Genomic DNA, 21684 nt, shown 5'->3' with positions numbered 1-21684 from the left:
AGTTAAGGAGATTATTCTTATTAGTCCTTCAGAAATTCCACCCTTCTCCAAGTTATTTTTTTCTCCATGGTGTGGCTGTATTAATTTCTTACCTTAATTTGTACATTTTTACTGGAAATTTTGTGTGATATAGCAGCTGGCATGTAAATCATTGGAAAAATGGCCATTCCATTGTCAACCAGGGTCACATTATAAATGTGCACACTCTCTGTGGTCTGCAATAGAATTTGCAGGTTACATAATACTAAGGACAATCATAAAAGAAAATAAACAATCACCATCTTTAATCATAATTACCTGAAAATAAATTCCATAATCCCAGCATGTCCAAATGGTAAATCCTTGTATAAGAGAACATCCAGGAAGGCCATCTTGGTTCATATAGATCCCATATAAACCTCCATGGGCTTCATTGTCAAACCACTTTTCCACAGGATTAAACTGGCCTTGGAGGGAAATATAGAACCAGAGAATGAACACTACATTTCATGTCATATAGTTTTAATAAGCAGTATCAGTTAAAGTTAACAAAATTCTTTTCAAAATTACATACATAATTCTGATATCAGGTTTAATATGATCAAATATTTTTATGGCTCTGCCATTTATGGTTCACTCTATTTAGTGTTTTTCTTTAAATGTTCTTGAGATGGAGTCTCACTATGTTACTCAAACTCGTCTCAAACTCAAGCCATCTTCCTGCCTTGGCTTCCTGAGTAGCTGGGACTACAGGCATGCCCCACCTCGCCTGGTTTATTCTAATTAGTATTTACTTTTGTCTAACTAGTCTCTTCACTGTTACTTAAAATAACTGTATACTTATTTGCAAAAGTTTAGTGTTAACACACTTACATTATTTTATCTGATTAAAGATTAATTTAATGGGAAAGAGCATGGGATTTAGATACAAATAAGCCTAAACTTGGTAGAGCTTACTGTCTGTGAAATGCTTCCCCTGAACATCTTTCCATTGCTATGTCCTTCTGGCCATCCCATTTTCAAGTCAAATGTCACTTCCTTAAAAGACCTTCCCTAAATACCTGATACAATATAATACCTCAGTCACTTTACATTACAATTAAAATTCCTTTCACTTGATATTTTTATTATTAATTATTTGTGAATTATCCATCTCTTCTCTCCTACTAAGATGTAAGCTTCATGACAGAAGACATTGCACCTAGCTCATTCACCATCATTTCTTGGAGCCTAGAAGGTAGTACAGAGATAGGTGGTCTTTAAATATTTTAACAATTGGTGTATGCATTATCTTGGGAAAGTTGTTTAACCTTTTAGGAACTTAGTTTCCTCATATGTAAAAAGTTTTAATGATTAATTCAGAATTGTTTCAAAATGAAAGGAAATAACCCACATACAGTGCCTAGCAAATACTCTCAATAAATGGCAACTATACTCATTATTAATATATACAACAAAGGGGATTTTCATGAAAGTTTTACTTATGTCCAAGTCAGTTCAATAACCTTAATAACTCCCTCCCCACACAGGCATGAATTGGAGGATTGTCTATAAAGAGCAGCACCACCTCCTAAATTGTACTTAATACCAGCTCTCCTGTTCAGGTTCCCTGGTATCTGTTTCCTTTTATCTTCTGCTGATTTTCCCTTCTTCCTAGTCCATTGGGTTTTACATTTTATTTATGATTTTCCTGGTTTTGATAATTTTCCTGCATTATTAAAATTATTATTATTAAAAGAAGATGTTTACATTTCTCTCCCTTAGAATCACACAATATAGATGCATGGACAAATAGGGTTTGACCCCTGAACCCAGTGTATATCACTATCCCCAGTTTCCCAGACTCTTGCCTGGAGGATGGATTGAATAAATTGATGTACCATTACAGGAACGTAAACTCTTCATTCCTCTGTGATGTTTCATATTTCAGTTGCTATAACTCCAAAATCTCCTTATAAATAGTCTCAATTATTTAGGAATACCAACATAGTCAGTGAAAAATGCATTACATAGCATTATACATACTAGTAAATATTCATATTCAAAGATATTTTGATGTTGAAAAATCCATAAGGATAACTTTATTGAAGTTGTAAAGAAATTACATATTTTAAATTTTTAAGTCAAAGAAAAGCCACTTTAAGTGGTTGGGAACTAAAATATTTAACAAGAGCATATATCAAGGAATCACTTAAATATGTTGACAAAGTAGTTTTTATTCCTTCAGAATGTATTTTGCACAAGAATAAAACCAGCTTAAGTCTAAAAATGTTTGAATTGACAGAAAAAAAATGCTGATTCAAAGAATCTTAAAAATAAATACACTTTTAACTAGTATATTTTTTAAAAGGTGAAATTTATGCTATATAAATCATGCCAAATAAAGCTGTTAAAAAGTAACTATACTGAGACTTTTCTTTTAAAATCAACTCTGGAAGGGACATACATTTCTCAAAGAAAGTCCCATTTTCTTTAAATTTCTTTAAATTTCTTGAGGGGTAAAGTCTGCAGATTTATTATGTATTTTACTTTTTTGATCTGGTAATTATTTATTATAAATTATTGGTTGAAAATATAGAGGTTATTTAAAAAGTATGCAATTATAAGTACTGAGTCTCCTTGTTCCCAATTACTTTCTATGATTTTTATACTTTCCTTATGTAAATACAAATACCATATACATTCTGATTCCTTCCCTTTCTTCCACAAAACATATTTTATAGGTATTATACCTAAAATAGTATTATATAAACTATTTTGCACTCTCCAGTAAGCACTTAAGAATATTCTAGAGATTTCTTCATATCAATACATTGAACTCTTCTGCTTTCTTTCTTCGAGTAGTCTAGTGTTCCATCGTCTGGCTTTATATAACTATTCTACCATTGCGGGACACAAAGTGGCTTTCGGTTTTCTGCTAGTACAGACAATGCTGTGATGAATAACCTTGTTCATAGATAATTTTCTAAGTTTGTAAAGGCAACTGTTAGCTAGATTCATAGAAGTGGAAATACTGAGTAAAGGTAAACGCACATGTGATTTTGGTAGATGTTGTCATGTTACCCTAAGTAGAGATTATATTGTTTTGTCCTTCAACCAGCAAGGTGTAAATGTTTCGCTTTCCCTACAGCCTTGCCAAAAGAGTAGATGCTCAGTTACCTCTTAATTTTTACTAATCCAATATAGAGAAATCTATATTTGAGAAGTGTCTGTTCATGTTTGTTGACTTTTTGATGCATGCAGGTTTAACATATGAATAGTGAGCATTTATTCTATCAAAGCAGAAGTTAAAATAATGGCATATGTCAACATGTATCTCTATAATAAGTGCCGTTTTTTTAAAAATGGTGGTGGGATGAGGTACTTACTGTCCCAATACCAACCAAATCAAGAACTCAAGTTGTCGTTGGAGTTTTGGGATCATAAACTTGGGAAAATAAAGTTTTCCTTAGAAACCTATTTATTTATTTTTTTAGATCCAATGTTATCTTGAAATAATTTATCTTGTTGAGTTATTTCAGTGCCCGGAAGGAAAAGACATCACATATTGAATTAACAAACAATAATTATTTATTTTAACAATTTTGTACAAGTTATTTCCTAGTTTTAGCGATTCCTGGTTTAAAAGACTTACCTGGGCAAGGTTCACCATCAATGCGGTATCCTGCTCTTCCAAATCCAGCCACTACATTATTCTGTAAAACTGTATTGGTCCCTCTATTTATCTAGTGCAATGATTAAAAAAAAATACTGTGCATCAGGCTAGTAAACATTTATATAAATCGAGAGTAAGTATATGACAATACACTTATGAAAACCTTTAATTATGACTACATTTTCAGGAGGAAAATTTGTATTTATTATTTACCCCATTCAAACTTAATTACAAATGATGAAATTACACCAGGTTCTTGGTGTAAAACCATCATTAAGTACTACAGCCTGGACTTCATTTAAAAACTACATTAAAGAGATTATTTCTTATTTCAGTCACAAAATCCACTGAATGTGGTTTAAAATTTACAAGGCACAGAACAAATTCCAGTATTACAAGAAGGTAAGGAGAATGTTAACACTTTTTTCAGGAAGTTGTGATCACTGAAAAAGTGATAAATATATGTTTATGTATTATATTTATATATGTTTAATATAAATATATATTTATATAAAAGTATGCATATATAGAATACATATAACATATATATATATATGGAGAGAGAGAGACAGGGTCTCGCTATGTTGCCCAGGTAGATCTCAAACTCCTAAGCTTAAGCAATCCTCTTAACTCAACCTCCCAAGTAGCTAGGATTACAGGTGCAAGCTCTTTTTAGTTACATTTTGTTACCAATTTGATTAATTTATTTAAAAAAGGACAACTAAGGCAATGAGAGTGGATCATAAGATTCAGTGGAGACATTGACTAGTTTATATAATGTATGCTATAATCACAAAGTAGGTTAGCATGAGTGTTAGGTAATTACAAACAATTTTATTTTATAACCCAAGTCAAAGTAATAAAAAATGGAAGCATAGAGCACACATTTCGTTCTTCCCTATGGTGTCAGCAAAACAGTCAAAAGTTGTGATCATATCAAACACACTTATTTTTAAATATTTTGATAAAAATAGAGTCACATGAATTCATAAATGTCAATTAAGTACTTTTTCCTTCAAAAGCCATAGATAGCCTTAAAGATTTGGAATTGATATTCTATACGTATAAACAGATAAAAAGAGAATATTTTTAACCTCATAAATGTATACTAAATTTCAGCTTTCAGATTTTACCTTAAGGTATTAATAGTTGCACATAAAAAAACTCAATCCTTATCCCATCTTTCAAAGATAACTATTTTAAATTTCCTTTGATTGTATGTCATAGGTAAAGACAGGAGGAAGCTATCTCCTCTACTTTCTCTTTTCTTGTTTGTAATCTTACTCTATATCTCAACAAACACCTATAGTAATTGAAGAAACTCCATGGGAAACAAGAAGGTTCCAATTAGTAATATCAGATAAGTATAATAACCTTGCCTGTAGAATCATGACAATTTTAGATGAGAAAATAATTTTAGAGATTCCATTGTCTATTTTCATTTTTAGGGAGGAAACTAAATCCAGAATTAAGTAGCAATACACCTAAAGCACTCAGTCGAGCAGCAGCAAAGAGGCCCTGTACTGGAACTTGAAATAATGTTGGAAAAGAAATGAGGTAAGAGAACTATTTAAACCAATAGACATTGACAGAAAAAAAAAAAAATCAATGGCCATCGAAACTTACATCATCTTTTTAAAAGTGCATTCACTCCTTTAGTTAGCTCATTTTATTAGATATTTTTCAATAACTGATATAATTATAAATTAGTATAATTATAAGTTTGTTTTCACTACCTCAATTGCTGCATGCCAGAGAGTTGAACTTAAATCTTTTCTGTTCTGATAGGTTCCTGGCCAAACCGAAAGTGCAATCAAATTCCCTCGGACTCGGTTGGCATTCCCCCATATTCTTATGCCTGTTTAAAAAAAGAAAAAAAGAAAGAAAATCCCCAAAAAACATAAGTCAATTTGCAACGACTATTAGGAGTAATGTCTTTTGATTTTTCCATAAAATTATTTTTCTACTTTGAGCCTGACAAACAATCCTCTTAGAGTTTCGAAGGAGTCTTCTGAACTCTTTGATAATGAACTCTACCTCTTTAATAGACTACCTGAATTAGAATCTTCTGGGATGCTTGTTAAATATGTGGGTTCACAGGGTCCATCTCAGATTTTATTTAACAAACACACCCACAGCTTTCATATACATTAAATATGTTTATTATACTTCATATTGACAAAAATAAATATAATATGCCTAAAGTTGTATATAACCTTTATTTGTAATAATATTTGTGATTGATAAGTGAGGAGTATTAAATTTAAATAATTAGTGATTAGATAACTCATGTAAGAATGTGATGTGGTAAAAATTCTTCCATTTTATAGGGCTATAGTGTCTAATATGATAACCATAGCCACATGTGGCTATTTAAATGTATATTAAGTACAATTAAATTATGTACCATTAAAATTAAAAATTCAGTTCCTCAGTCATAATTCAGCTCCTAGCCATAATTCAAGTGCTCAATAGACACATATGACTTAGTAATTACTATATTAGACAGCAGAAATATAGACCATTTCCATCCTCACAGAAAGATCAATTGGGCAGTGTAGCTCTAGAGTATATAGATAAGAAAGCCTCCACAGGATGTGTAATTTGAACCAAAATATTATTATATTACCTTCCCCCACTGTAAAGTGAATGATGTTGTCATCTATGTCCAATCCATCTGTCCCAAATACACCAATTGCTGGAGAGAAGCCATGGTGAAAAGCACAGCCTCGAATATAAGATGAGCCATGTTCTTGAATCTATACAACATTGGGATACAGAGAACATTTTTAAAATAAAATTACAATATATTTTTAAAAATTGAAGTAAATGATTTTCAGTAAACAAACCTTTATCAATAATCAATACTCAATTCACTTTCTCTTAAAGATGATTTCTCCATAAGTCTTTAATATATCCATATATAAAATATGGAAATTTCCATATATCTGAATTTATTATTAGATATATTGAATATATATGCTTACTTTAAATGCAGATTTCAAAATTCTCCAGTTCTTTTCTATGCATTTATATTCCTATTATCACTTATAAAATGCTAAGGTGCTAAAATTTATTTTTTCAGAATAGTTTATGATGACAGGGATTTTTTTTTAATTACAAAAAATAATACTTTAGTCAAGGAGTTACTATTCAAATGTCTCTAAGAACCATTCAGTGAACAGGTTAGGGGTTTCAATTTAAACCTACAGATTATTTTGTATTTCTACTAAGAAATATGCTGTCTCTCATTTTTCTTAAATCACCAGCCCTCTCAGAATATTTATTTTCCCACTTTTGATGGAGGTGTAGATCAGACATGCATTTCATTTGAGAAATTTAAGCAATACTCTCTTTGTTTACTAGAAACCATTTGGAAAAATGTTTTTGGTCATTGCAAAATAAAGTGGATATATAAACCACTATTATAGATCTTTGATTCTTTCACCCTCCATACTATTTTTCCTATGGTTTTTACTGGCCTTAAATAAACGCACAATATGGGTGGAATAAAATCCTGCTTATATAGGTCTAAAAAGTTAATGGGCCAAGAAAGTTTTATTATATTAGATTATAATTTTAGCTAATATAAGATGTGGCTATTTAGAAGTCAAATGAAAATAAAAATATTTTGCATATTTTTAATATACACAAAATTAAAAATAAAGCACAAACCTGTCCTAGGTTAAGAAACGTTACAGCATATCTTGGATCTGTGCTATCCCTGAAGCCTTCTTGACCACTGTGATAAAATTCCACATTACTTATTCTTGCATTTCCTAAGGTAGGGAAAGATTTAAAATTTGTTTTTCTTAAAACAGTTGGAATAAAACATTTTTGAAAAGCTACACAAAGTTGTTCAAATTTTTCATGAAAAAATCATTATTCTTTGCTCCTTTAATCCAGAAGAGGTAGTATTTCTCAGACCTCTTTTCATTGTACTCACAAATAGCCTTTTTCAACATTTTTTTTCCTAATAGCCTGCACTCTCCCGCAAAATTTTAATAACGCATATATACCATATATCTGTTAGTATACAGTGGCCCTTTGGAGGACCACAAACCATTGTAATACCTACGTTTTTTGCCCCCACCTCAAGAACTAAGTTTTTCCTCCTGGGGGGTGATATTTTCGAATTGAGAATGTATGGCATAAGGCATAAAATATAATTTACCTGATATTTCCCTTTTGATGCCATAAAGAGCTTTTAAGGGCATTACCTTTTATAATCTCTTTCAGAATATGTATTGCCAATTATCTGCTGGTCAGCTTATCATAAGTACCATCGAGGTGACAAAGGGTAATTTTACAGACTACTAATAACAGCAATAACAATCCATGAGAGATTGCTCTTTGTCAAGTGCTGTACTAAATGCATAACAGGCAATATGGGGTTTAATTCCCATAAAGCACCCTGTGGGTTAGGAACTTTTATATCTCTATCATCTAGTTAAAAAAAACTGAGGCACAGGAACTCATGGCTGGAAAATAACAAAAGAGAATATTATTTGTTCAAAAACTGATACTTAATAGGATGTGTTGGAGAAAAGTTATTTTGTACTAGAAAGGAAAGCCTACCTTAAAATCCATGAGGCAATTCTTCTATACATGGTTGAGAAGATATGAATAATTGAGATAATGATAGAGAAGACATGATTACTACAAGCCACCTGGGCTTACAAAAGCCATAGATGTGTTGTCTTTACTCACGTCACAAAACAATTTATAGGAGCAAGGAAAGATTGTCATAGGAATAGGGTTCATCGCTGAATTTGAAGTGAGAAAGACACAAATTAATATTAAAGATCAAAGCAACTTTACCCCTTTAATCATCTGTTTGTTCATCTTTAAAAGAGGGGTAATATTTATGCCATAACATTATGAGGATTAAATAAGATTGTATGTGTTTAATGCTTAGCACAGTGCCTGTGATCTTGTGTCATGTTCGTCATTACCATCACCATCATTATCAGCAGCAGCAGCACCATCATCATCAGGTAAGCTTCCTCTGGCAGATTATGACCAACAAGTAGAGGCTATAGTGAGACTGCTGTTTGCTCAATATAAAGATTTTCTAAAATAGATCTGTTGCAAAACGAAATAGGCAGTGTTTGAACAAATGAGTACCTGCAGAAACAGTTCAAATCAAGAATGGATGGTCTACTCCTAGTACCCAGATTGTGGGATCCAAATAACATCTTCCAATAAAAAGAACCAGAATTACTTGGAGGAACAATGAGTTCCAGTCTTAGAAAAAAATTACAATATGTGCTTGCCGTATCAGAAAGTAAAGAAGCTTAGAAAACTAAGTCATGTCAAGAGGACAGGCATCAACATGAAAAGGTTCTGAAAGTCAATAATGGAGCATTCTGAGTATTAATCAGATTAACAATCACAATGGATTTGAACAGGTCAAATATGTTTTGATCCAGGAGCACATAATGATACTAAAAACAAAACAATAAAAACTCCCTGTCACCTTTGGAGGATGCTTGGGAACCAACACATTATCTTGAAACCTAGTCAATATGAGGAAAAATCAAGCATTTTTTCCTGTGTTTCCTATATGAACTATTTTTCAGTGCAGTCAAATAGTTGTTTAGGGGAGATTTTCTTTATTATAAATGAGAAGGAAATTTTAAACCTTAATGATTTAATGAATCTAGGCAATGTTAATTAGTAGCTATTAACATTGTAAGAAGAGAAACAATCATACATTATGTACCTACTGATGGAAAAATACACTACCAACTGTACCTTTTCTCCCTTCCTTCCTTCCTTCCTTCTTTCCTTCCTTCCTTCCTTCCTTCCTTCCTTCCTTCCTTCCTTCCTTCCTTCCTCTCTCTCTCTCTCTTTCTCTCTGTCTTTCTCTCTTTCTTTCTTTTGGCTGGGTCTCACTATAGTGCCCAGGCTGATTTCAAACTCCTGGCCTCAAGTAGTCATCCCACCTTGGCCTCCCAAAGTGCTGGGATTACAGGCCTGAGACACCCTGTCTGGCATAATTCTTGACTAAAAATTGAGCCTGAAATCTCTAGTTTTAAATCACCTAGGCATAGGAAATACAGGGGGACAAGAACAAGTTAAATTCCAGGAATGCAATCACTCAATTCCAGACTGTTGGAAACTCCACAGAATTAGAGGACCAACTTCTTTTATAGATAAATTGCAAGGAGAGAGGAATGAATCAGAGATTTAAGATTCATAATCAGTTGCAATGTGGATCTTATTTAGATCCTTATTTGAAACAAGAGGATGGATGGAAGGAAGGGAGGGAGGAAGGGAGGGAGGGAGGGAGGGAGGATACTGGGGAAATTTGAAGTATCATTTGATGATAAGAAATTATTATTAAGAAATTAACATTTTTAGGTCTGATATTTGTTGATGTTTTCTAAAATGTCTTAGAGTTGCATACTAAAATATTTCTAGATGATATAATACGTGATTACTTCAATACAATCCAGGAGCATGAAGAAAGTGGATGGAGGTGTAGGTGAAACAAGATTGGCCAAAGTTGATCATTGTTGAAATTGGTGATTAGTACATTGGGATTCATTATACTGTTTTCTCTGTTTTTGGTGTATGCTTGAAATTTTCCTTAAAACAAAACAAAAACAATAAATGATCTGTGGTACTTATTATAAAATTATCTCTGTTAGGTGAAAGACTGGTCTAACTGTTACCTAAGGTCATTGTTAATTTGATAATTCATTTTGTCTGTGAAGATAAAATTAAAAGCAGTAATTTAAGAGAATTTACTTGGAAGGTAAAAACTGGGCTACATAATCACTTTTAATGCTTTATTTTCCCACATAATCTTATTAAAAAAGTGAGAATTATGTAAGAGCTGACTACATATAGATGAGATAATGTTATAGCTCATTTAGAAAAATAAACTGAATTGATACCAACCTTTAAATGTCATCATATTTTCAGTGAATGAGCCAACCAGTACGCGTGCTCCAAAAGAGTCCTCAGACCAACCGGGGTAATCTTCACCAACTATTTTGATGTTCCTACTCAGTATCCCAACATCAGCTGCTAACGTGTAGCTCTCACCAGTTCCAGGGACATGGTATTTTTCAGCTGCAGTATAAAGGCAGCTAGATTATTGCCAATGCTGAGAAGTATCTGTCTTTACTAGTTCCTTTGCAGTTTATATGCTAAACAGCCTTCTAATAAGCCAAAAATGAACATGAATGCATGATTACATTTACATGTTAAACATATATAGATGGCAGTCTGATATTATGATATTCGTATTTATAAAATGAAATATAATCAAAAATATTTCCTCTATTTACATCAAAATGATTATTATAATCAGCAAGTATAAAGTTACTACTTAACAAATCTTGAAGGTAGTATATAATCACTTCAAATTACACATGAAAGCCCTGTTGTGTGGCAAATTGAGAAGTGTATTGTAATTTTAATAGATGAGGAAATAAGGTAGAGAAGTAAAAGAATTTGCCCAAAGCTAGGAGGAGAATCAACAACACATAGCTATTAACACTCCTGCCACCTAAACCTTGGTTTGTTCCACTTTTTCTGTGGCATATTTTATATCAACCACAAGTCTTCATCAATAGGTAGTAGCATATCCAACACCATCTGTACATTTACATCTTAACAATTTGTAAAACATAACCTAGATTACACGCTACATTTTAAGAAATGTTACTCAAAACTTTAAGACAAGCAGGTGCATTTCAAACAGAGAAAAATGCTTGATATTTTAAATGAAAGAATCTATAATGTCAAACTTCAAAAACCAACTGTTTTACAACTAATTACAATGAAACATTTTTCAAATAAAACTTTTCTTTATGATTTAAAGAAAAATATATGATATAGAATTATAGACACATGCGCTTCTATTAAAGTACTGCTTTGAGAAGTTCTTTTCAATTTCTTTTTCATGCAGGTCAAATGTCTGCTAGTCTATCATGCTGTCTTGCATCTGGAGTTCCCATGAGCATCATGGGCATCTGAAAGGATTTTCTAACTTTTCACTACTGTCTGCTCCCACTTCCTGAGATTTGGATGAAGGTACCATGCCAAATGGGGAAAGGCTAGAATGCTGGGAAGGCCCTGCTCCTGTAAGTGGAAAACTCATCTTCAGATCATGCTTATTCCTTCTTTCCTCAACAATTATAGTTTTATCCTTCCATTATTACTTGTCTAAATGCATTTACCGCTAAAGACTATATCCATGAAACAATTTAGGACAAGGCTTTTGGATCAAGGATCCTCAAATTTCAGCGTGCACAAGAATCACCTGGAAGCTTGCTTCAAACAGAAAGTGTTGAGCCTTACCCTATAAAATGTCAAACAGTAAGTCTTTGCTGAATATTTGCTGAATGAATGAAAGCACATAGCGGGGACTATCGGTAACCAACACAGAAAGAGCAGCACTCACTGGGTATCATTGCCAATCTGAATAAAATGCTCCTTTAACATATTTGTGACATGTTTTATCAAAGAATTATAATTACAGAGTAAATGTGAATCTTTCAACACAATTATATATCTATTTGGTTAAAAAGCATCCACTTACCAAAGTGAGTATAGGAAAGGCTATCATTAAGAATGAGAATTTTATGATCATGCAGGATTTTAACGATACTTCTTGTTTCTGTCTGGTGGAAATCGTAGCTTGTGGTTGTTATCACAATCTCTTCTCCCTCCTTAGAAAAATTCAAGTGCCAAATTTAAGAACAATTTTAAAAATAGATTTATATTTCTTGATATCATTATTAAATCATTCAAATTTAATGTATATCTCATTGGCAATTATGGTATTATCAGAAAGAATAAACAGTACATTGAAGTCTCTAAAGGTATATATGCTTGTGTTTGATATTAAGAATTATAAATTTTGAATTATCTGAGCATTTTCTTAACTTTAATTCAGCCATTTAGTAAAACCACAGCAATATACCTTTTTTAAAAAAGCAAAGACATCAAAGCAAACATATTCACATTTTTATTAAAAACTGCTCAGGACAATATTATTAAGAGTTGAATTTTTTCCCTAGTTTTTTGTTTGTTTGTTTAGTACAATTAACTATCACTTATTATTCCTGAAAGGCAGAAAAGCCCGAGGAAAGTTAAAGGGCAAGGCTGAGTCCTAGAACTTTGTATATTGAGCTCCTCCTTGTCATCCAAATCTCTGCTCAGATGTACCCTTGACAAAGACCATCTCTGGAATATTCAATGTTATCTGCTACTCTTTGCCATGGCAGTCTCTATCACACTACCTGTTTTATTTCCTTCATTATGCACATTATTTGAAATCAATAGATATTTATTTGTTCATTTACTATCTGACTCTCCCACTCCAATGGAAGTTCCATGATAGATTGGACAAATTTCTTCACCACTAAATCCCCAATGCCTAGAAAACTGTGTGACACTTGGTTAAATATTACTCTGACACAAAATTTGCAGACAGTATTAATTGGATAAATAATAGGGATATCAAAATCACTTAATTACTCTCTTCAAAAAGTAATCACACCAGAACTATCACAAATAAAAACATATTGTAAGTAGATGATAATACTTCTCAATAAACCCTCTTTCTATTTACCAATTATAAACTACACTAAGAGAGCAAAACCATATGTTTTGATGATTTGCATTGATTTGCCCAAACTAAGGCTCTCTTTGTTCTGTGAGTCTAAAGCTTGTTCTCACCAGAAAGGAACTGGCTGAGATCTGAGAGCTTGGAGATGAAATCCATCCATTTCTCTAATTTTTCTTGGCATTAAAAAATGTATTTGTAAAACCTGTGGACTCTATGGCTTGTGCATAGTTTATGAGCACAGTAGAGATGAGAATTGCTACCATTTATACTTTATTAAAATATCTCATTTAACACAGGCAGTATTTGGATGTCACTGGGTGTCAGAATTTGTTTTCTTTTCAAATTCTTAACATGTAAAATCATAAATTAGAAGTGAAGAGGTAACCAAGATAATAAAATATATTTTAAATAATTCAATTTTCTGTTTTGCAAGAATTTATAATAAATAATTTTATCCAAAAATGTTCATATTTTTCTTTTATGACTAATATACATTGGCATAAAATATGACTAATATGACTAATATATTATGTATATATATTTTTATGACTAATAGTCATATTTTAATTTTATCCAAAAATATTCATATTTTTCTTATGACTTACATATATATTAATATAAAATAATATGACTAATTTATATTATGTACATACATTTTAATGACATATATTACATATATTAGCTTGTATATACATAATATATATTAGTCATATATTGTATGACTAATCTATAGTCATATATGTCATAAAATATATATACATAATATACAGTCATAAAATATATATAAATACAATATACATACCTATGTATTATATGCACACACACATAATGTTCTCTATTTATTTTAAAGGACCATTGAAGCCACAATTTTTAAATGCCTCCTATCGGATACATTTTTGCAAGCTTATTGCAAAATACACATTTTTCATCTGGTTAATCACATGAGAAAATGAATGCCCATGAGAGTAGAATAGAAACTTTTTTCAGCTGACCCACTGTGTATATTCATTTTCCATTACATAATTATTTTGTCTACCTGCCAATCCACAGCATCCATCAGAGACAGGACTTTGGAACCTGCAAATGCAGTTTCTGAGAGCTTAGTTTTATATATTGAATGTGGAATTCCATGAAGATCCAGCTCACCAAACACCCCTAAAGAAGAAAAGCACACTCCTACTTATTCACCCCACAGTACTGAGTTAGGTGCTAGTATAAAATGAAAATGTTCATTGATATATTTTATTATGTGATTAAACATTTTAGAACAAAAGGAATGAATTGGTGCTCTCTGCTTGGAACCATGTAAGAAGACGTGGCCCTTTAACCCACTTCCGGAAATCTGGCTCATAGACATTAAAGCCAGTATACAAGAGTACATGAATGAAGATGCTTACCACAGCAATATTTAGAAACACAAGGAAACTGGAATTAATCCAAATATACATCAATAGGAAAAGGATGGAATAAAGTTTACTAATACTGTAAAATAATAGGCTATAAAAAAGAGTTTTATCTGTAAGTTTAAATCAGGAAAGATTTTCATAATATGTTCACTGAGAAAAGAAAACTGCGTAATAATATACTTAATGTGACCATGTTTTATGAAAGGAACAATACTATCACCACAAATCAGTATATGTAATATGAATATAGGCATAGATAAAAAACATAGGAAAACACACAAAAAATTTTTAACTAATTCTAGTGTCCTTAAAAGAGAATTAGAAAGATGTGTATTCTTTACAGATATGTTTTCTTCATACTGTTCTATGTTGTTTAAAGTGTTACTTTTGAAATAAAAAGCACATACTTTTTTTTAAGATTGAATTTGTCTGCCTCAGGACATTTGTGAATGGTGAGCTAATTCAATCTCAAGCAATTGTTTAGCCCCTTATTTACTTGGTGTCAGTTTTAGAAATTGTACAGTAAAACAATGGTAGCACATACTTATATGCGTCTCCTAAATAAATATGCAGTACCATTCATAAAAGCAGTTCTTAATTGTGACCAGGTTAAACTCTTTCAAGCCATTTGCTTTCTGAGCTCAAATAAGAATATCCACGGTATACTAATGCAACTGGGAAATTAAATCTCAGCAACAGCTGTGATTGGGTAATTGATTGCAGAGTCAACTGATCCACAGATTATTTATTAATACTATAAATGGAATAATGTGTAGGAAAGTTACCCTTTAAGGAAAGGTACCAAAATGTGAAACATAGTATTGCTTACATAAAGAAAACTGTATGAAGAAAACCAGATTGGAAAAATAATATACATACAAAGAGATTTGTTACTATTAGTTTTGTAATAAATTACATTTTGGTTTAAAATACACACATTTATATCTGTTTTAACCTGGTGAAATGTGAGGTTATTTAATTCTAAAATCTCTGCTACTTCTATAACCCTTTACAATAAATAAATTTCTGTAAAAACTTCTGATACTTTTGTATCAGAAGTACTTTTTATGATAAAGTATTTATCATTATGAACTGATATGTACTTTAGTGCCATATATTTTAAAGTAGATTCTTAAAACAGATGTGACACTTTTGGTATCTGTAGACACACACCTAAGACCTTTGCCCCTTGATTTGGTCCTTCTGGAAGAGCCCAGTCTTGTGTAGTATGATTTCCTCTAAGAACAATCTTTAAGTCTCCTTTAAAAGGGTTATCTTCCCAGCCACCGATTAATCTACCTCCCTGAAATGAAGCAGAAAATTGTTAATACTTAAAAATTGACCAGGAAAAAAAATCCACCCATAAAAAAGGAATTCAGAAGTCACTGGAAGCCTAGTAAAAAGGAATGAGTTTTGTTATATAAAGAACAGCATTATAACTGGAAGTGACTTTAATTTCACTTTTGGATAAGCAGTTTAAATGATTTTTCAAAGGTCAAATTCAATATCTACTTACTGACAGAACTAGACCTAAAACTGAGATTTCATAAGACCTAAACTAGTGGTGTTTGAACAGACCATAATGTATTTGAAAGTAATATCCTATATGTAAAATATACTCTTTACGCTTACACCCAAGCTATGCAATTTATGAGCCATCATTGTTAATACTAATAGTTAATAGCTATCATTAAATGCTTGCTGTTTCCATCATGCATAATGTGTAAGGCTTCACATATATCCTTTAACCTTTCTTTACACCAAATTCATGAATTAGTATTATTATCCTTATTTCACAGGTGAGAAAACTAATGGTGAAAGAGGTCAAATAACTTACCCATGGTTACCCAACTAAAAAACAATAAGGTAAAATTCAGTTGTAATTTTAATTTACCTTAAAGCCATATGTCTAATCAAAATACAATGCACTTTTAAAATATTAATAACCAAGTTTCTGGACTTTATTCCTTTTCTCAAAGAAATAATAATAATGCTAACTGCTTATTATTTTAATGCTGCTTAATAGCTTTTTGGCTAAGCAATTCTTTTTCATGAACAATATTACAAGACTGACAGGACAATCGAGCTGATTAAGCTGGTACAGGTTCAAGACCATCTGGGGTTTACAAGGAATGTGGGGATTGTTCCGAATAACTGTAACATTTTGATTTATTTTCTCTTGCTTTCACAATTCCATCTATGTCCCTTTGGTTTTTTTTTTAAATACTGTTTGTTTTATTTAAAGAACAAAAGGCTTAAATTCTTTTACTTGTTTCAGAACTCCTAGGACTCTTTGTTGGAACAAGCTGTTGGTTTAGCCTGACCTCATAATGACATAGATATTCTATACACAATGGAAACTGGGCCAACTGCAGACTCAAGAATCCTATAGTAACTACTCCTAAGAAATGTTTAGTCCATAATTTAAAGGAGAACAGAAATATATTGGACTTAACTGAGACTTGCATTTAATGGGATAGAGCCAGTTGTGTTTTTATTCACACCAATTGAATATGCTTCTTTCTTATTATTTGAGTAAATACACATTTTAGAATTAGATTAATAAAGATATAAACTACAAGGCCCTCACTCTTACCTGCAGTGATATGTAGGTAGCATTCAAAACAACTTCTCTGTAAGAAGATTCTGCAGCTCCTACATTGTATTTATCTTCCAGTTCTAGAACCCCCCAAATAATGAGTCTTTCCATTGATGGCATATCTATGTCAGCTACAATCCATGTTCCTATAAAACAATACTTTAAGAAATATAACATAATCCATAAACTACAACTTATAGCAAAACATTGACAAGCTTATCAGTGAGTCCTAGTTTTGAGTGTTTATGACATGTCTTTTCATATAATACCTGATTCCTATCTCTCCCAGAAAATCTGCTCTTGTTAATTAATGGTCAGGTTTAAATCCACAGAAACCCCAGAAGGCTAGGTTTAGTATCCGGGATGCATTAATAGAGTCCACTTCTCCACACTTGCTCTTTTGGAAAGGTGTGCTGATAAAACTGTGACATCTACCCTGCCATAGTGTTAATATTGCAGAAAACAAACATTTCATTCATTTGTGTTTACGCATTTACCTTCAGGTATAATCACATTTGCCCCTGGGTGAGGTACAGTATAATTATTTTCTCGTGATGATTGCCAAAAAGAATCATTTGACCATAAACTGAAAAGAGAAGAGAAATACTTCCATGAATTACTACTTGTGATATTCCCTAATTTTGTCTAAAATGTAAACCGTTCCATTTCCCCATAAGATTTTACATGGTAGAGAAGAAAAAAAATGCACGCTTTGTCCTTTTAAAGACCCTTGACACATGGTGCTATTTCATGGGGAGTAGGGGTAGAGGATATAGTTGGCTAGATTCTGTGAAGAAAGGGGTAGAAGGATGGTCTCTGAGTTGACGAGGATGCACCAATGCCATTAAGCCCCTGGGCTGGGATGGGGGTGGCAGGTCTGTATCCAAAGTGAAAGCTAGGTTAAATTGAAATAATTTCATCAAGTGTATGGGAGGACAGACGGTCTTCAGTTTTCATCACTATGCCTTCTAGAAAATACCTTTTAATGCAAATTTTTATGAAGGATATTATTATAAAATTGGTGATATTTTCCCACTGGAAAATATGCACAATCATAGCCCTTCATTCTTATTAATACCATCACTCACTATCAATAATCATGTTATGCATTCCCCTTCTTATTTGCCATGTTACGATCAACAAAGCCCTCTAAAACTAGGCATTAAGTTATATAGCTTGAGCCTTCTGTTCTAATCCTGAGGTAGCACTTCTGGGTCAAGATTCTGTTTTGTCTTGTATTATTCATAGCTAGCTGAATAATACAAATTAATCAATCCAATTATAACTATTTCCAGTGATGAAAATTCATACCATGGGAAGAAAGAAAAACTATACCATGGCATATACATGTAGTTTATCGTAGTTTACCTTTATCACATTCTGGCCTAGAGCAATCTAAATCTGTTATAGTAGTCATAATAAATGTTAATTAAATATTTAATAATTATATCTACCTCAGAATGCATAAGGGCCTTGATGATTCTCTCTCCATTGTTTGACATGCCACACCCTTTCTATGTCAGGGCACTTGCACAAGTTGCTCCCTAGGTTTCTCCCACCCTTCACGCAGCGAGCTCTTCCTTATCCTTTGGGTTGCAGTTGGAATAACCCCTCCCTGAGGGTGTTCCTAACCACCCCACCCAAAGGCTGTCCCTGCCATATTGCTCTCTGTCCCAGCCCCATATCCATTTTTTTATAACATTTATCACAACTCACACTTACATACTTTATCTTCTGTTTACTTTTTTGTTTGTTTGCTTGTTTTGTCATCTCTTTGGATTGAATATGAGTGTAATGAGATCAGAGATCACATCTATGTTGTTTATAATTGAATCCAAAATGCCTGGCACATAGTGGATACTCAGTAAATTTTTTTTAGTGGTTGAATGAATATATAAACAAATTCAATTTTTGTTCTTTTGTACAATAACCACTACAGTGTCTATTTATTTTGAAATGTAATTCATCTAATAATTATCATTGAGTTGTACTTGTTACACAGTAGTGGGCTATTCAGTGCCCACTAAATGTTAGTTTTTAGCATCATCATCATGTTTTGTCAGTAGTATTGTCCATAAGGGATGCAAATATACATCAAATCAGGATCATGCCTTTCAGCATCTTAAAGACTAATACTGAATGTGCTAGTACCATCATGTCCAGTAATTACTCTAATACAAGGTAGAAAGTGATGCTTCACGAGAAATAAAGGTAAAGAGCTATGTAAGTTACAAAGATAGAAATATTGTTTTTAACTAAAAGAATTAAAATATATTTGAAAGAAAATTAACTAAGTTTTATTATGAGATTTGACCACGATGGTTATTCTAGAGACAGCACCTGCTAAGAAAGCATTGGATTCACGAGGAGACTTAGTTTCTGGTGCTGTACTGGATATGCCATCAGTGAGCTCTGTGATCTTAGGTAATGCACCTATGTTCACTGGGTGTCAGCTTTCTCGTCTATATGATAAGGGAGTTGGGCCAGGTCTAAGAATCTAAATCTAACATTCTGCAACTGTGAGGTTACCAGCAACTTTCACACATAATTTTTTTAAGACATTTTCATTTTCTCACGAAGGTTTTTGTAAGGCTCAAGCAAAGCAGTGAATGTGAAAGTACTTTGTAACCTACAAGACATTGTGCAAGAGTAAAGCATTATTATTTCACCCAGGAGTGACATGTGAAAAGGATTATGTTAAGAGATATTGAAGGGTATCAACTACAAAAGGCCTATGTACTTATATGTGGCTGGTCGCTTCTTGGGAATTGGTTTTCTTGATGGCGGATGTACAGGAAAGCAATCCTGGAGAATACAACAGTAAGCTTGGAAATTAATAACAACGTCTTTCACATCAGGATCCAGGTTCCCAGAAATGAGCTGACTCTGATGAAGGTCATTTCTTCCTGACACTGAAAGTGAAGTAAAAGTGGGTTAAATGAACATAGTGACCAAAGTACTTGAATGTAAACAAAATTATGGAATTTTGGAAAATGTTCTTTAGGTAGTAACTTGAATTATAATTCACATGTATGGAAGAGGTATGGAGAAATTCTGATAATGTATGTATTATAAAGATATACACGGTCAAAATATCTTGATAAAAATGAATGCTTTAGAATTTAATTAAAACTTATTATTAAATATTTTAATTTTCCAAATAATTAAATAATAAAAATGGAAACAAAACATATGCCAGCTTCCATTGTATTCATTTTCTCTAAGCCCATGAAATAAAACTGTCAATGTGCAAGCATGCTGGTGTCACCTTCAACATAAAATGAAAGTTCTTAATTCAACTCAAAACCTTTTCAAGAATAAATTTTGTCTCCAGTTTTTCCATTCAGCAAACATTTATTGGATCCTGTATATATTAAGCACTGCACAACACATTTGCTTATTAAGCAATTTTTCTCATCTTTTAGACAAAGCATTAGATAAACTATCATTTCTGCCTAATGACACATACCCAAGTAATATAGAGTACTAGTGTTTGCTTCAAGGTGCCAGTCCCCATTCTTGCTAGTATTCCAATTCAATGGATTTGAGGAACCATTCCTCATATCAATAATATTAAACATGTCAGGATTTTGAGTGAAGTTATGTGATATAATTACATAGTCTTCTTCCTATAAAAGTTTATAGAAAAATGTGACTTGTATGTTAATATTCTTCGTATAACACATTAATTTTAATGACATATAATTAGCCCCTATATTATGTTAAGATTTAAAAGTTTTGGCTTTAGTTTGTTTTTTGTCTTGAATTTCTATTTTGTTTATTAACGTTTTACATGTCTATGACAATAATGCTAGTTCTGTCACTAAGGCAACGAAAGGATCTCTCTCTCTCTCCTGTGTGTGTGTATGTATATATAAATACATATACATTAAGTATACACATGTATAGTATATATATATATGCATACACACACATATATGTGATGTGTGTATGTGTGTATATATGCATATATTTAGAAAATATTTTATTTTAAAAACTGACAGATAAAATTGTAGACAATATTTTATTTCTATAATGTTTAAAAATATTTAAAACAATGCTGCACAAATGTGTAGTATAAGTGGAAGAACATGTATAAGATGGAAAACATCCAATTCAGGATACTGGCTACCATTAGAGGTGGAGAATGGGGAATAACATGAGAGTAAATAATACAGAAGGCTTCCACTTTATCTACCATATTTTACTTTTTTTATAAATTAGAAAGTAAATATTCACAGAATGTTAGATTTAGATAGAGTTAGGTAGTGGCTTTTTTTTTTTTTTTTGAGATGGAGTCTCCCTCTGTCGCCCAGGCTGGAGTACAGTGGGGCGATCTTGGTTCACTGCAACCTCTGCCTCTTGGGTTCAAGCGATTCTCCTGCCCCAGTCTCCCCAAGTAGCTGGGACTACAGATGCCCACCACCACACCCGGCTAATCTTTTTTTTTTTTTGT

General features: G+C 32.3%; 1 protein-coding gene across 7 annotated transcripts in view; it reads right to left on the bottom strand.

The window, feature by feature from the left end:
• Positions 1-21684, bottom strand: part of PKHD1L1 (PKHD1 like 1) — a 174747-nt gene that overhangs the window by 39843 nt on the left and 113220 nt on the right. For all 7 annotated transcript variants that reach the window (NM_177531.6, XM_011517371.3, XM_017013971.2 and 4 more), the window contains 14 exons: positions 20698-20857; positions 19969-20140; positions 17726-17814; positions 17226-17374; positions 15803-15932; positions 14260-14378; positions 12192-12321; positions 10544-10717; positions 7310-7413; positions 6264-6393; positions 5371-5492; positions 3614-3704; positions 298-446; positions 93-215 (listed from right to left, as the gene is read on the bottom strand). In NM_177531.6, coding sequence (NP_803875.2) covers positions 93-215; positions 298-446; positions 3614-3704; positions 5371-5492; positions 6264-6393; positions 7310-7413; positions 10544-10717; positions 12192-12321; positions 14260-14378; positions 15803-15932; positions 17226-17374; positions 17726-17814; positions 19969-20140; positions 20698-20857 — 1842 coding nt within the window. The remainder of the gene's footprint in view (positions 1-92; positions 216-297; positions 447-3613; positions 3705-5370; positions 5493-6263; positions 6394-7309; positions 7414-10543; positions 10718-12191; positions 12322-14259; positions 14379-15802; positions 15933-17225; positions 17375-17725; positions 17815-19968; positions 20141-20697; positions 20858-21684) is intronic.

This window comes from Homo sapiens, chromosome 8, assembly GCF_000001405.40.
Source record: "Homo sapiens chromosome 8, GRCh38.p14 Primary Assembly".
NCBI classification, from domain to species: domain Eukaryota; kingdom Metazoa; phylum Chordata; class Mammalia; order Primates; family Hominidae; genus Homo; species Homo sapiens.
This window is presented reverse-complemented; position numbering and strand designations above follow the sequence as displayed.